Here is a 13,254-nt window from a genome sequence, read left to right on the forward strand (position 1 = left end):
GTGTTAGCCAGGATGGTCTGGATCTCCTGACCTCGTGATCCACCCGCCTCGGCCTCCCAAAGTGCTGGGATTACAGGCGTGAGCCACCGTGCCCGGCAGGACACCTTATCTTAAGTCTCTGGACTTTGCATCCGGGAAATTTGGTTTATATTAGCTCAGGTTTTATCAGTCCTCAGGGGAATTATTGAAACATTGGCCTTTAACATCAGCACTAACTTAAAATTGCTCTTATACCTTTGCTAAGAATTTCCTTGACATTTCTCAAGTTATATAAATGCCTTTTGAATCAATATAAAATGGGCCTCCTAAAAAATGATCTGACTGGACTCCAGTTTCCCCTTGTGGGTTTTGAGATAAAGTCCATAAATATTTAATAACTGGGCGTTATGGGGAACCTTCTGTCCTAGTTTTGATGTGAAGTTGCTATTTGAAGTTGGAGCATGTTTGGCCCCCATATGAAAACTTTTGACTTAAATTTTAACCATATTATTTGTTATTTTTAAAATAATTGATTCAAATGTTATAATGTCCTGATAAGGTGTTCAAAGTGATAGTTTGGTTATTTTGGCCCTGCAAAGTCAACTTAAACACCATTGAGAGGTTTGTTTTTAAAATCTATGATTTAATTTTTTCAACTTACACATTCTGATATAGTAAAACGTCAGTAAAAATGTCATAGAGGATTATCTCGTTTGAGTTCTCTTTTTTTCAGTGTATGTATTATTTACCCATTTCTTTGTATCTTTACCAATTCAGATTTTGAATTAACATAGCATTGTTAGAATTGAGTTTTTCTGATGAACTACTGTATAGGAACTTTCTTGAAGATATGTGCTTCTTTCATGAGACAGTAATATTTAATCTTTAGATGTTTGTTAAGTGCAGATTGAATCCAGTACATCCAGTCCAGACTATTTTCATATAGAAATTGTCTCCTTGGGTTTTACGGCACTAAGCTCAGCTCTTACACACACATTACTCAGTACCTTTATGAGATTTCCTTTGCGGGTCATGGCTTAATTATATTAGTTTGTATGAATAAGAAGAACGAATGGAATGACAAACTTTAAGAGCTAGAAGCAGACATTTACACTTTCACTTAGAAGCCCACTAAACATAAAATAGACCTCTGAGAAAGGTAAGATTGGTCAAAGTCAAGCAGGACACTCCCACTGGCTGCGAATAACAGGAACTCTTGCAAGTCTGGTGACCTTCCAGAAATCAATGCACAGGTGACCTTCCAGAAATCAATGTCATCAACAAGTCTCTGGCACTGTGTGAGGGAGAGGATGCCTAAGCCTGATAATGGGCATATTCAGTTCTCAGTAGTTATAGTTCTTCCTGTAAAGTAATGCATTGGCTTTCTGAGACATAGGTTTCATTTTCCTTCCAGGGCCTGGATGAAGCAGGACTTGAAGATTTTGATTTGTAGCCATGGCAGAATGCCCCCTGGGAACTGGCTGGCCCTCCTATTAGTGCAGTGGTACAGGGCTGTAATAGATAAGGTTAAGGCTCGTTGACAAACATTTAGCCTCACGTATGAAAATGTTGGGATAATTAGTATTCAAAGATGGCAGGTTTTCCCTAGTGAAGCCGAAAGAACACTAGAAAGGATGTTTGTGATGAGAAAATTAGAAAGAATTTGAAGGGCTTACATAAAAATACAACAGGTCTTGATAATTGAACCCTTATATTTTGTTCATGTTGCATTTTTGGGTCTCATTCATCATCATCACTATCAGATTCACCAAGAAATATTTATTTTGAACTTGCTTTGTGCTAAGCACTATTCTAGACATGGGTACAGAGAAGTAGAAACATACCCCTGCCTTCATGTAGCTTACACTTCAGGGACATAGGCCCTACCCATTGTGATTGTAACACACTGCGACTCCTTTTCTCATGTCTTGAGGATTCAGTCTTTTATACCCACTCTATAGTCACTCTTCAAATATGACTTTTTTTTTTTCTGGGATAAAGCATGATGAATCTATCTTGTTTACTTTTTTTTTTCTTTTTATTATACTTAAAGTTTTAGGTTATAGTAGAAAGAAAGTATCTTGCTTACTTTCTTTGTACTGTAAGATATATTGGTATCTAAATATTTCTCCTTGTCTTAGAGGAATGGTGATATTTAGAAAGGATGGAGTGGTGTGAATGGTGGGGTGATAATTATGAAAAGAGAAATGATGTGTAAAATAAGAAAATTTTTTTAATAATTTGAAGGATATTGAGTCTAACTCTTTAAAAATATATCAATAACAACTTTGGTTGGGTCTTGGAGTCATTATTACTTCAGTTTTACTAATCTACATGATTGTTCCCAAGACTATGATGGTTTAAGTCAAAACAAAAAGTCTTGTCATTCCTCTGCTCAAAAATCTTATATCTCAAATCCTTATCTGCTAATTCTGGGAAACATAATGTTGAGGGAAAAATGCAAGTTGCAGAAGTAATGTTCACAGTAAGGTGCTATTTATACAATTTTAAAGCCATTAAAACAATGCTACATGTCATTTATGGGTTGCATATATATAGTAAAAGGGTCATGGATGAGAATGATAAACACTAAATTTAGAATAGTTTTTGGCTATGGGAGTAAAAAGGGAGGGTAATACAAATGAGAAAGGCTTTATATGTGTTAATAGTCCTTTATTTCTTAAGCGGAAGGGCAATGCAAATGAGGAAGCCTTCATATGTGTTTATTTTATTTCTTATTGGTGAGTGTACAGATGGTCCATTATATTCTTCTAACTTTTCTTTTTGTAAGCTACTTTTTTTGAAAGTTTTATTTAAATATAAGAATGAGAATTAGAGAATCTGTTATTTTAATGCATGTATTCAGTCTTTGCTTAAGTCTGTGGTATTTTATATTTCTTCATCTGGACTAGAGGTTCATGTGAGAGAATATCAAGCTGGTTTGTGTGACTCTAAGACCTCTCATCTCTGTACGGTTTGTCAGCTTCCTGTCAGCCTCAGACTCAGAGTGGCTGGCCATGTAAATGTTCCTTCTGAACAATTTCTGGATGGCTGCTCCCTGTCTATGTTGGCTGCTCTCTTCAGTATTAATTTTACATCCACCCTCCCAATGGGATTTTCTTTGTCTGGGAAGCTGTAGTAGAACTCAAAAGCATTTTTTACCAATAGAACTTTGAGCTGCTAAGCCCATCCCTTGGCTCAGTGAGTCCTTCCTTTGCTGGTACACTACAGTTATAAATCAAATATGAGAAGACCCTGAGCTGGTGCCCTGTAGATTGAAGAGTGCAGCTGACATCTTTTAAACTGAGATTGTCATTTGGAGCAGTTTCTGAGTATTTTCACTCAAGGATATGTGAACAACCAAGGTTTTGAAAGTCTGTTTTTCTCCATTTGGCTTGAAAGCACAGTTCAAGTCATTGTGAATCTTTCTAAGCTTTTACTAGTTATGAGAAGCAGGTCCAATCTTGAGAAGCACGTAAAATTGTAGGGAAATTATCTACATTATGATAAATATTTAAGAAGTGGAGAAGTTGTCTGAGGATGGTATAGTTGAATGTATACAGGGACAAACTCTAAAAAATGAACTAAGAAAGTTAAGGAGTGATGATGCAAACTTCATAGGCTACAACACTGGGCATGGCGGACAGGTAATTTATATCACTTCACAAGTGACCTCAGATTTTTTTTGTTTTGGTTTTTGAGAGGAGTCTTGCTCTGTCACCCAGGCTGGAGTGCAATGGGTCTGTCTCAGCTCACTGCAACCTCCACCTGCCATGTTCAAGCTATTCTCCTGCCTCAGCCTCCTGAGTAGCTGGACCTACAGGCATGCACCACCATGCCCTGCTAATTTTTTGTATTGTTAGTAGAGACGGGGTTTCACCATGATGGCCAGGCTGGTCTCAAACTCCTGACCTCATGATCCGCCTGCCTCAGGCAGGCCAAAGTGTTGGGATTACAGGTGTGAGCCACCACACCCGCCCAGTATTTAATTTAATGAAAATATTCATCTCCAACAATGAAATATTACATTAACTGAGAAAAGTTTGATTTCCTTATAAATCACACACATACGTATGTGTGTATGTATATGTATTTGTATGTTTATGTATCTCTACTGTGTCTTTTTTAAAATTCTAAACAACTTGTTTTATATGCTACATAGATTGGTATTTTAACCAGGTAAAAAGTGGTAGTCTGTCATGTAAAACTTCTGCCCTGGTGTATTAGTCCATTTTCACCCTTCTGTAAAGAATTACCTGAGACTGGGTAATTTAGGAAGAAAAGTAGTTTAATTGACTCACATTTCCACAGGCTTAATAACAGAAAGTATGACTGGGAGGCCTCAGGGAACTTGTATTCATGGCAGAAGGCGAAAGGGAAGCAAGGGCCTTCACATGGTGGCAGGAGAGAGAGAGCTAAGGGGGAAGGTGCCACACACATTTAAACCGTTAGATCTTGTGAGAACTCACTGAGTAGCAAGGGGGGAATCCACCCCCATGATCTAATCACCTCACATCAGGCTCCTCCTCCAATCTGACATGAGATTTCAGCAGGGAAACAAATCCAAACCTTATGACCCGGTTACAGTGAAAGAGATAGCCCTATCTTTTCCATTTTCATAGACAAGGAATAATGACTACCCTAATGTCTCAACATGGAAAAGAATGGGGAAAACACACATGCCATCTCTTAACCCCTAATTGTACCTTCATGGGGGAACTGGGGGACTTAGGATCAGTGAGTGTGGATGGCAAACCTTTGGGCATGGAGGGCTAAGCCTTGCATGTGTGTCTTTTGGAATGTTCTCAGAAGCACTTCTTTGTTCATTACTGTAATGAGCTTTCTAGGTAGGTCTGTCTTTGAAAGGAGTATGGGAAAGCTCCATTTGGTGAGAAAGGCTCTATTTGGTAGGAAAAGTACACCTTAGAGATAGATTAAGAAGATCAACTATGGCCAAAAGCCAAGCCAGACTCTTTAGCCTTATCAGGAATTATGCTGTCATTTTCATTATCATTTGTCCAATTCCTATCTTTTTTGTTTTTGAGATAAGGTCTTAGTTTGTCACTCAGGTTGGAATACAGTGGTATGATTATCACTCACAGCAGCCTCAACTTCACAGGCTCAAGTGATCCTCTCACATCAGCCTCCCAAGTAGCTGGGATGACAGGCATGTGCCACCATGCCTGGCTGACTTATTTTTATAGATATAGGATCTCACTGTGTTGCCCAGGATGGTCTCGAAATCCTGGTTTCAAGTGATCCTCCCACCTCCACCTCCCAAAGCACTGGGATTCTAGACATGAGCCATCATGCCTGACTTGAACTCCATGTCTTACCTGATAGGTCCAAAATCATAATGGAGAGAGGAATAAAGTTAATGATTACCCCTAAACTCCAGTGACTTCTATGTGGTACCTACCTGTATGAATATATGTAGGGTAAGGAGAGAAGGGAAGGCTAAGGTTGGGAAAGTGGCATTATCCTTGCTTTTTTTCTGGACCAAATATTGGAAAATAACCTACATTGTTTATAACTGAAAATCTTCTCTCTATATCAGGGTTTTTCAGTCTCAACATTATTGACATTTTGAGACTGATAGTTCTTTGTTTTAGGGGCTGTCTTCTTCATTGTAGGAAGTTAGCAGCACCTCGGGCCTCCGTTTACTGGATGCCAGCATCACCCACCCAGTGTGACAACCAAGAATGCCTCCAGACATTGCCAAGTGTCCCCTTAGGGGCAAAGTCACTCCCAGTTTAGAATCACTTCTCCCTATAAAAACCCAACACTTATTTTTTATTTTTGTAAGCCAATGAAATGGAGAAGAGCTTTTTTTCAAGATTTAGGAGACTTAGAGCAATGTAAATTGGCATTCTTTTCACTTGTTATTTAGTACACCTGAATAGGGTTCAAAAAGCCCCAGTTATAATCTAAATCCTATTTTATTACTCTTCCATAAAAAGTTAACCTGGGTAACCTATCCTCAAACCTCGTAGATTTAATTTTTCTTATACATACATTAGCACAGTTCAGTTGTTATGCAACACATTCCTCCTGATTGTTATTTCTATTATTCCAGATTTGGAGGTACACTTAGACTTTCAAAATGGGCTGATTTTATAGCCTTTGATCTGGTCATTCAACTTCAAGTAATTTATCCTAAAGCAGTACTCACATGTGTATGCAAAGACTTATATATAGATATGCTCATTGCAGTGTTGTTTGCAATGGCAAATACTAGAAATAACTCTAACGCTCATCTTTAGGTGGTAAATAAATTATAGAACATCCATACAGTATAAGGGGATTGAGCCATTGTAAAGAATGAGGATGGGAAATAGACTCACATATGTTATATAAATATAATATATGCACATAAATGTGAAAAGTACTATACATTAAGCAGAAAATGAAAAATATAATCTTATTTCTATTATAAAACTTTATCCATATGCAAATGCATGAATAGAAAAAATATTAAGGTTTATACACTAAATTGTTAATATTTGAGAGACAGTGGGTTCTGGAAAATTTTCTCCTTTTATATGTTTCTGTGGTGTTCACAATGTTTTATTAAAAAAGGAAATAAGGTATCTGTTTAAAAGGAATGTATATTTTTCTTCATACTGGACAAAGGCCTGTAAAAAAAAAATGACTTTATCTAAGTCATGGTTCTCAACTGGAGGTGACTTTGCCCGCTAGGGGACATTTGGCAATGTCAATGTCTGGAGGCATTCTTAGTTGTCAAAACCAAGGGCAAGGGGTGCTAGTGGGACACTGGTAAATATCTTACATAGGACAGGCCCCTACAACAAAGAATTAACAAGCTCAAATGTCCATAGTGCCAAAGTTGCAAGTACTGGTTGTGATGCAGTGCTTGCTTGAAAAAATTACCTTTAGAATTTTCAGAGGGTGTTACATTTGAAACTGATAGATATATTCATGACAGACCATGATCCTTATCCTATTGTCTTTTTCTTGGGATATTAAAAGACATTATAAAAAACACTTTGCTTTACCAAAAGTTGTCTTTTTATTTAAATTAATTAATGAATTAATTAATTTTTTATTATACTTTAAGTTTTAGGGTACATGTGCACATTGTGCAGGTTAGTTACATATGTATATGTATACATGTGCCATGCTGGTGCGCTGCACTCACTAGCTCGTCATCTAGCATCAGGTATATCTCCCAATGCTATCCCTCCCCCCTCCCACCACCCCACAACAGTCCCCAGAGTGTGATATTCCCCTTCCTGTGTCCATGTGATCTCATTTTTCAATTCCCACCTATGAGTGAGAATATGCGGTGTTTGGTTTTTTGTTCTTGCGATAGTTTACTGAGAATGATGATTTCCAGTTTCATCCGTGTCCCTACAAAGGACATGAACTCATCCTTTTTTATGGCTGCATAGTATTCCATGGTGTATATGTGCCACATTTTCTTAATCGAGTCTATCATTGTTGGACATTTGGGTTGGTTCCAAGTCTTTGCTATTGTGAATAATGCCACAATAAACATACGTGTGCATGTGTCTTTATAGCAGCATGATTTATAGTCCTTTGGGTGTATACCCAGTAGTGGGATGGCTGGGTCAAATGGTATTTCTAGTTCTAGATCCCTGAGGAATCGCCACACTGACTTCCACAATGGTTGAACTAGTTTACAGTCCCACCAACAGTGTAAAAGTGTTCGTATTTCTCCACATCCTCTCCAGCACCTGTTGTTTCCTGACTTTTTAATGATTGCCATGCTAACTGGTGTGAGATGTTATCTCATTGTGGTTTTGATTTGCATTTCTCTGATGGCCAGTGATGATGAGCATTTTTTCATGTGTTTTTTGGCTGCATAAATGTCTTCTTTTAAGAAGTGTCTATTCATGTCCTTCGCCCGCTTTTTGAGGGGCTTGTTTGTTTTTTTCTTGTAAATTTGTTTGAGTTCATTGTAGATTCTGGATATTAGCCCTTTGTCAGATGAGTAGGTTGCAAAATTTTTCTCCCATTTTGTAGGTTGCCTGTTCACTCTGATGGTAGTTTCTTTTGCTGTGCAGAAGCTCTTTAGTTTAAGTGGATCCCATTTGTCAATTTTGGCTTTTGTTGCCATTGCTTTTGGTGTTTTAGACATGAAGTCCTTGCCCATGCCTATGTCCTGAATGGTAATGCCTAGATTTTCTTCTAGGGTTTGTATGGTTTTAGGTCTAACGTTTAAGTCTTTAATCCATCTTGAATTGATTTTTCTATAAGGTGTAAGGAAGGGATCCAGTTTCAGCTTTCTACATAGGGCTAGCCAGTTTTCCCAGCACCATTTATGAAATAGGGAATCCTTTCCCCATTGCTTCTTTTTCTCAGGTTTGTCAAAGATCAGATAGTTGTAGATATGTGGCGTTATTTCTGAGGGCTCTGTTCTGTTCCAATGATCTATATCTCTGTTTTGGTATCAGTACCATGCTGTTTTGGTTACTGTAGCCTTGTAGTGTAGTTTGAAGTCAGGTAGCGTGATGCCTCCAGCTTTGTTCTTTTGGCTTAGGATTGACTTGGCGATGCGGGCTCTTTTTTGGTTCCATATGAACTTTAAAGTAGTTTTTTCCAATTCTGTGAAGAAAGTCAATGGTAGCTTGATGGGGATGGCATTGAATCTGTAAATTACCTTGGGCAGTATGGCCATTTTCATGATATTGAGTCTTCCTACCCATGAGCATGGAATGTTCTTCCATTTGTTTGTATCCTCTTTTATTTCCTTGAGCAGTGGTTTGTAGTTCTCCTTGAAGAGGTCCTTCACATCCCTTGTAAGTTGGATTCCTAGGTATTTTATTCTCTTTGAAGCAATTGTGAATGGGAGTTCACTCATGATTTGGCTCTCTGTTTGTCTGTTGTTGGTGTATAAGAATGCTTGTGATTTTGGTACGTTGATTTTGTATCCTGAGACTTTGCTGAAGTTGCTTATCAGCTTAAGGAGATTTTGCGCTGAGACAATGGGGTTTTCTAGATATACAATCATGTCGTCTGCAAACAGGGACAATTTGACTTCCTCTTTTCCTAATTGAATACCCTTTATTTCCTTCTCCTGCCTAATTGCCCTGGCCAGAACTTCCAACACTACGTTGAATAGGAGTGGTGAGAGAGGGCATCCCTGTCTTGTGCCAGTTTTCAAAGGGAATGCTTCCAGTTTTTGCCCATTCAGTATGATATTGGCTGTGGGTTTGTCATAGATAGCTCTTATTATTTTGAAACACGTCCCATCAATACCTAATTTATTGAGAGTTTTTAGCATGAAGGGTTGTTGAATTTTGTCAAAGGCTTTTTCTGCATCTATTGAGATAATCATGTGGTTTTTGTCTTTGGCTCTGTTTGTATGCTGGATTACATTATTGATTTGCGTATATTGAACCAGCCTTGCATCCCAGGGATGAAGCCCACTTGATGATGGTGGATAAGCTTTTTGATGTGCTGCTGGATTCGTTTTGCCAGTATTTTATTGAGGATTTTTGCATCAATGTTCATCAAGGATATTGGTGTAAAATTCTCTTTTTTGGTTGTGTCTCTGCCCGGCTTTGGTATCAGAATGATGCTGGCCTCATAAAATGAGTTATGGAGGATCCCCTCTTTTTCTATTGATTGGAATAGTTTCAGAAGGAATGGTAGCAGTTCCTCCTTGTACCTCTGGTAGAATTTGGCTGTGAATCCATCCGGTCCTGGACTCTTTTTGGTTGGTAAGCTATTGATTATTGCCCCAATTTCAGATCCTGTTATTGGTCTATTCAGAGATTCAACTTCTTCCTGGTTTAGTCTTGGGAGAGTGTATGTGTCCAGGAATTTATCCATTTCTTTTAGATTTTCTAGTTTATTTGCATAGAGGTGTTTGTAGTATTCTCTGATGATAGTTTGTATTTCTGTGGGATCGGTGGTGATATCCCCTTCATCATTGTTTATTGCGTCTCTTTGATTCTTCTCTCTTTTTTTCTTTATTAGTCTTGCTAGCGGTCTATCAATTTTGTTGATCCTTTCAAAAAACCAGCTCCTGGATTCATTAATTTTTTGGTGTCTCTATTTCCTTCGGTTCTGCTCTGATTTTAGTTATTTCTTGCCTTCTGCTAGCTTTTGAATGTGTTTGCTCTTGCTTTTCTAGTTCTGTTAATTGTGATGTTAGGGTGTCAATTTTGGATCTTTCCTGCTTTCCCTTGTGGGCATTTAGTGCTATAAATTTGCCTCTACACACTGCTTTGAATGCGTCCCAGAGATTCTGGTATGTTGTGTCTTTGTTCTCGTTGGTTTCAAAGAACATCTTTATTTCTGACTTCATTTCGTTATGTACCCAGTAGTCATTCAGGAGCAGGTTGTTCAGTTTCCATGTAGTTGAGGGGTTTTGAGTGAGATTCTTAATCGTGAGTTCTAGTTTGATTGCACTGTGGTCTGAGAGATAGTTTGTTATAATCTCTGTTCTTTTACATTTGCTGAGGAGAGCTTTACTTCCAAGTATGTGGTCAATTTTGGAATAGGTGTGGTGTCGTGCTGAAAAAAATGTATATTCTGTTGATTTGAGGTGAAGAGTTCTGTAGATGTCTATTAGGTCTGCTTGGTGCAGAGCTGAGTTCAGTTCCTGGGTGTCCTTGTTGACTTTCTGTCTCATTGATCTGTCTAATGTTGACAGTGGGGTGTTAAAGTCTCCCATTATTAATGTGTGGGAGTCTAAGTCTCTTTGTAGGTCACTCAGGACTTGCTTTATGAATCTGGGTGCTCCTGTATTGGGTGCATATACATTTAGGATAGTTAGCTCTTCTTGTTGAATTGATCCCTTTACCATTATGTAATGGCCTTCTTTGTCTCTTTTGATCTTTGTTGGTTTAAAGTCTGTTTTATCAGAGACTAGGATTGCAACCCCTGCCTTTTTTTGTTTTCCATTTGCTTGGTAGAGCTTCCTCCATCCTTTTATTTTGAGGCTATGTGTGTCTCTGCACGTGAGATGGGTTTCCTGAATACAGCACACTGATGGGTCTTGACTCTTTATCCAATTTGCCAGTCTGTGTCTTTTAATTGGAGCATTTAGTCCATTTACATTTAAAGTTAATAGTGTTATGTGTGAATTTGATCCTGTCATTATGATGTTAGCTGGTTATTTTGCTCGTTAGTTGATGCAGTTTCTTCCTAGTCTCGATGGTCTTTACGTTTTGGCATGATTTTGCAGTGGCTGGTACCGGTTGTTCCTTTCCATGTTTAGCGTTTCCTTCAGGAGCTCTTTTAGGGCAGGCCTGGTGGTGACAGAATCTCTCAGCATTTGCTTGTTTGTAAAGTATTTTATTTCTCCTTCACTTATGAAGCTTAGTTTGGCTGGATATGAAATTCTGGGTTGAAAATTCTTTTCTTTAAGAATGTTGAATATTGGCCCCCACTCTCTTCTGGCTTGTAGGGTTTCTGCCGAGAGATCCGCTGTTAGTCTGATGGGCTTCCCTTTGAGGGTAACCTGACCTTTCTCTCTGGCTGCCCTTAACATTTTTTCCTTCATTTCAACTTTGGTGAATCTGACAATTATGTGTCTTGGAGTTGCTCTTCTCGAGGAGTATCTTTGTGGCGTTCTCTGTATTTCCTGAATCTGAACGTTGGCCTGCCTTGCTAGATTGGGGAAGTTCTCCCGGATAATATCCTGGAGAGTGTTTTCCAACTTGGTTCCATTGTCCCCATCACTTTCAGGTACACCAGTCCGACGTAGATTAGGTCTTTTCACAGAGTCCCGTATTTCTTGGAGGCTTTGCTCATTTCTTTTTATTCTTTTTTCTCTAAACTTCCCTTCTCGCTTCATTTCATTCATTTCATCTTCCATTGCTGATACCCTTTCTTCCAGTTGATTGCATCGGCTCCTCAGGCTTCTGCATTCTTCACGTAGTTCTTGAGCCTTGGTTTTCAGCTCCATCAGCTCCTTTAAGCACTTCTCTGTATTGGTTATTCTAGTTATACATTCTTCTAAATTTTTTTCAAAGTTTTCAACTTCTTTGCCTTTGGTTTGAATGTCCTCCTGTAGCTCAGAGTAATTTGATCGTCTGAAGCCTTCTTCTCTCAGCTCGTCAAAGTCATTCTCCATCCAGCTTTGTTCCATTGCTGGTGAGGAACTGCGTTCCTTTGGAGGAGGAGAGGCGCTCTGCTTTTTAGAGTTTCCAGTCTTTCTGTTCTCTTTTTTTCCCATCTTTGTGGTTTTATCTACTTTTGGTCTTTGATGATGGTGATGTACAGATGGGTTTTTGGTGTGGATGTCCTTTCTGTTTGTTAGTTTTCCTTCTAACAGACAGGACCCTCAGCTGCAGGTCTGTTGGACTACCCTGCCGTGTGAGGTGTCAGTGTGCCCCTGCTGGGGGGTGCCTCCCAGTTAGGCTGCTAGGGGGTCAGGTGTCAGGGAACCACTTGAGGAGGCAGTCTTCCCGTTTCTCAGATCTCCAGCTGCATGCTGGGAGAACCACTGCTCTCTTCAAAGCTGTCAGACAGGGACATTTAAGTCTGCAGAGGTTACTGCTGTCTTTTTGTTTGTCTGTGCCCTGCCCCCAGAGGTGGAGCCTACAGACGCAGGCAGGCCTCCTTGAGCTGTGGTGGACTCCACCCAGTTCGAGCTTCCAGGCTGCTTTGTTTACCTAAGCAAGCCTGGGCAATGGCGGGCGCCCCTCCCCCAGCCTCGCTGCCACCTTGCAGTTTGATCTCAGACTGCTGTGCTAGCAATCAGCGAGACTCCGTGGGCGTAGGACCCTCCGAGCCAGGTGCGGGATATAATCTCGTGGTGCGCCGTTTTTTTAAGCCGGTCAGAAAAGCGCAGTATTCGGGTGGGAGTGACCCGATTTTCCAGGTGCGTCCGTCACCCCTTTCTTTGACTCGGAAAGGGAACTCCCTGACCCCTTGCGCTTCCCAAGTGAGGCAATGCCTCGCCCTGCTTCGGCTCGCGCACGGTGCGCGCACCCACTGACCTGCGCCCACTGTCTGGCACTCCCTAGTGAGATGAACCCGGTACCTCAGATGGAAATGCAGAAATCACCCGTCTTCTGCGTCGCTCATGCTGGGAGCTGTAGACCCGAGCTGTTCCTATTCGGCCATCTTGGCTCCTCCTCCATGTTTTCTTTCACTTTAAAAAGTTTCTATTCTTTACCTTCTTTCCTTCTTGAAAATAATGGTTGCAATGAATTACTTTTGCTGTCAGCCCCCCAACTTGATGATGTCGTGAAAATGCCATGTTCTTCCCGTCTCTGAGTCTGCCATTATCCATGTTGGCTTCATCCTCAGCCATACTGCACAATGGCTGCCATA

General features: G+C 39.8%; 1 long non-coding RNA gene across 1 annotated transcript in view, besides 1 other annotated feature; it reads left to right on the plus strand.

The window, feature by feature from the left end:
* The window catches only part of SLC8A1-AS1 (SLC8A1 antisense RNA 1), a 337,576-nt gene that overhangs the window by 83,927 nt on the left and 240,395 nt on the right, over window positions 1-13,254 (plus strand). The window lies entirely within an intron of this gene.
* Window positions 12,230-12,798: an enhancer, noted in NCBI's record as "H3K27ac-H3K4me1 hESC enhancer chr2:40240930-40241498 (GRCh37/hg19 assembly coordinates)". NCBI's record gives its function as "activates a minimal SCP1, AML or CMV promoter by ChIP-STARR-seq in naive and primed H9 embryonic stem cells {active_cell/tissue: H9 hESC(naive and primed)}" and the evidence as "EXISTENCE:reporter gene assay evidence [ECO:0000049][PMID:30033119]".

This window comes from Homo sapiens, chromosome 2, assembly GCF_000001405.40.
Source record: "Homo sapiens chromosome 2, GRCh38.p14 Primary Assembly".
NCBI lineage: Eukaryota > Metazoa > Chordata > Mammalia > Primates > Hominidae > Homo > Homo sapiens.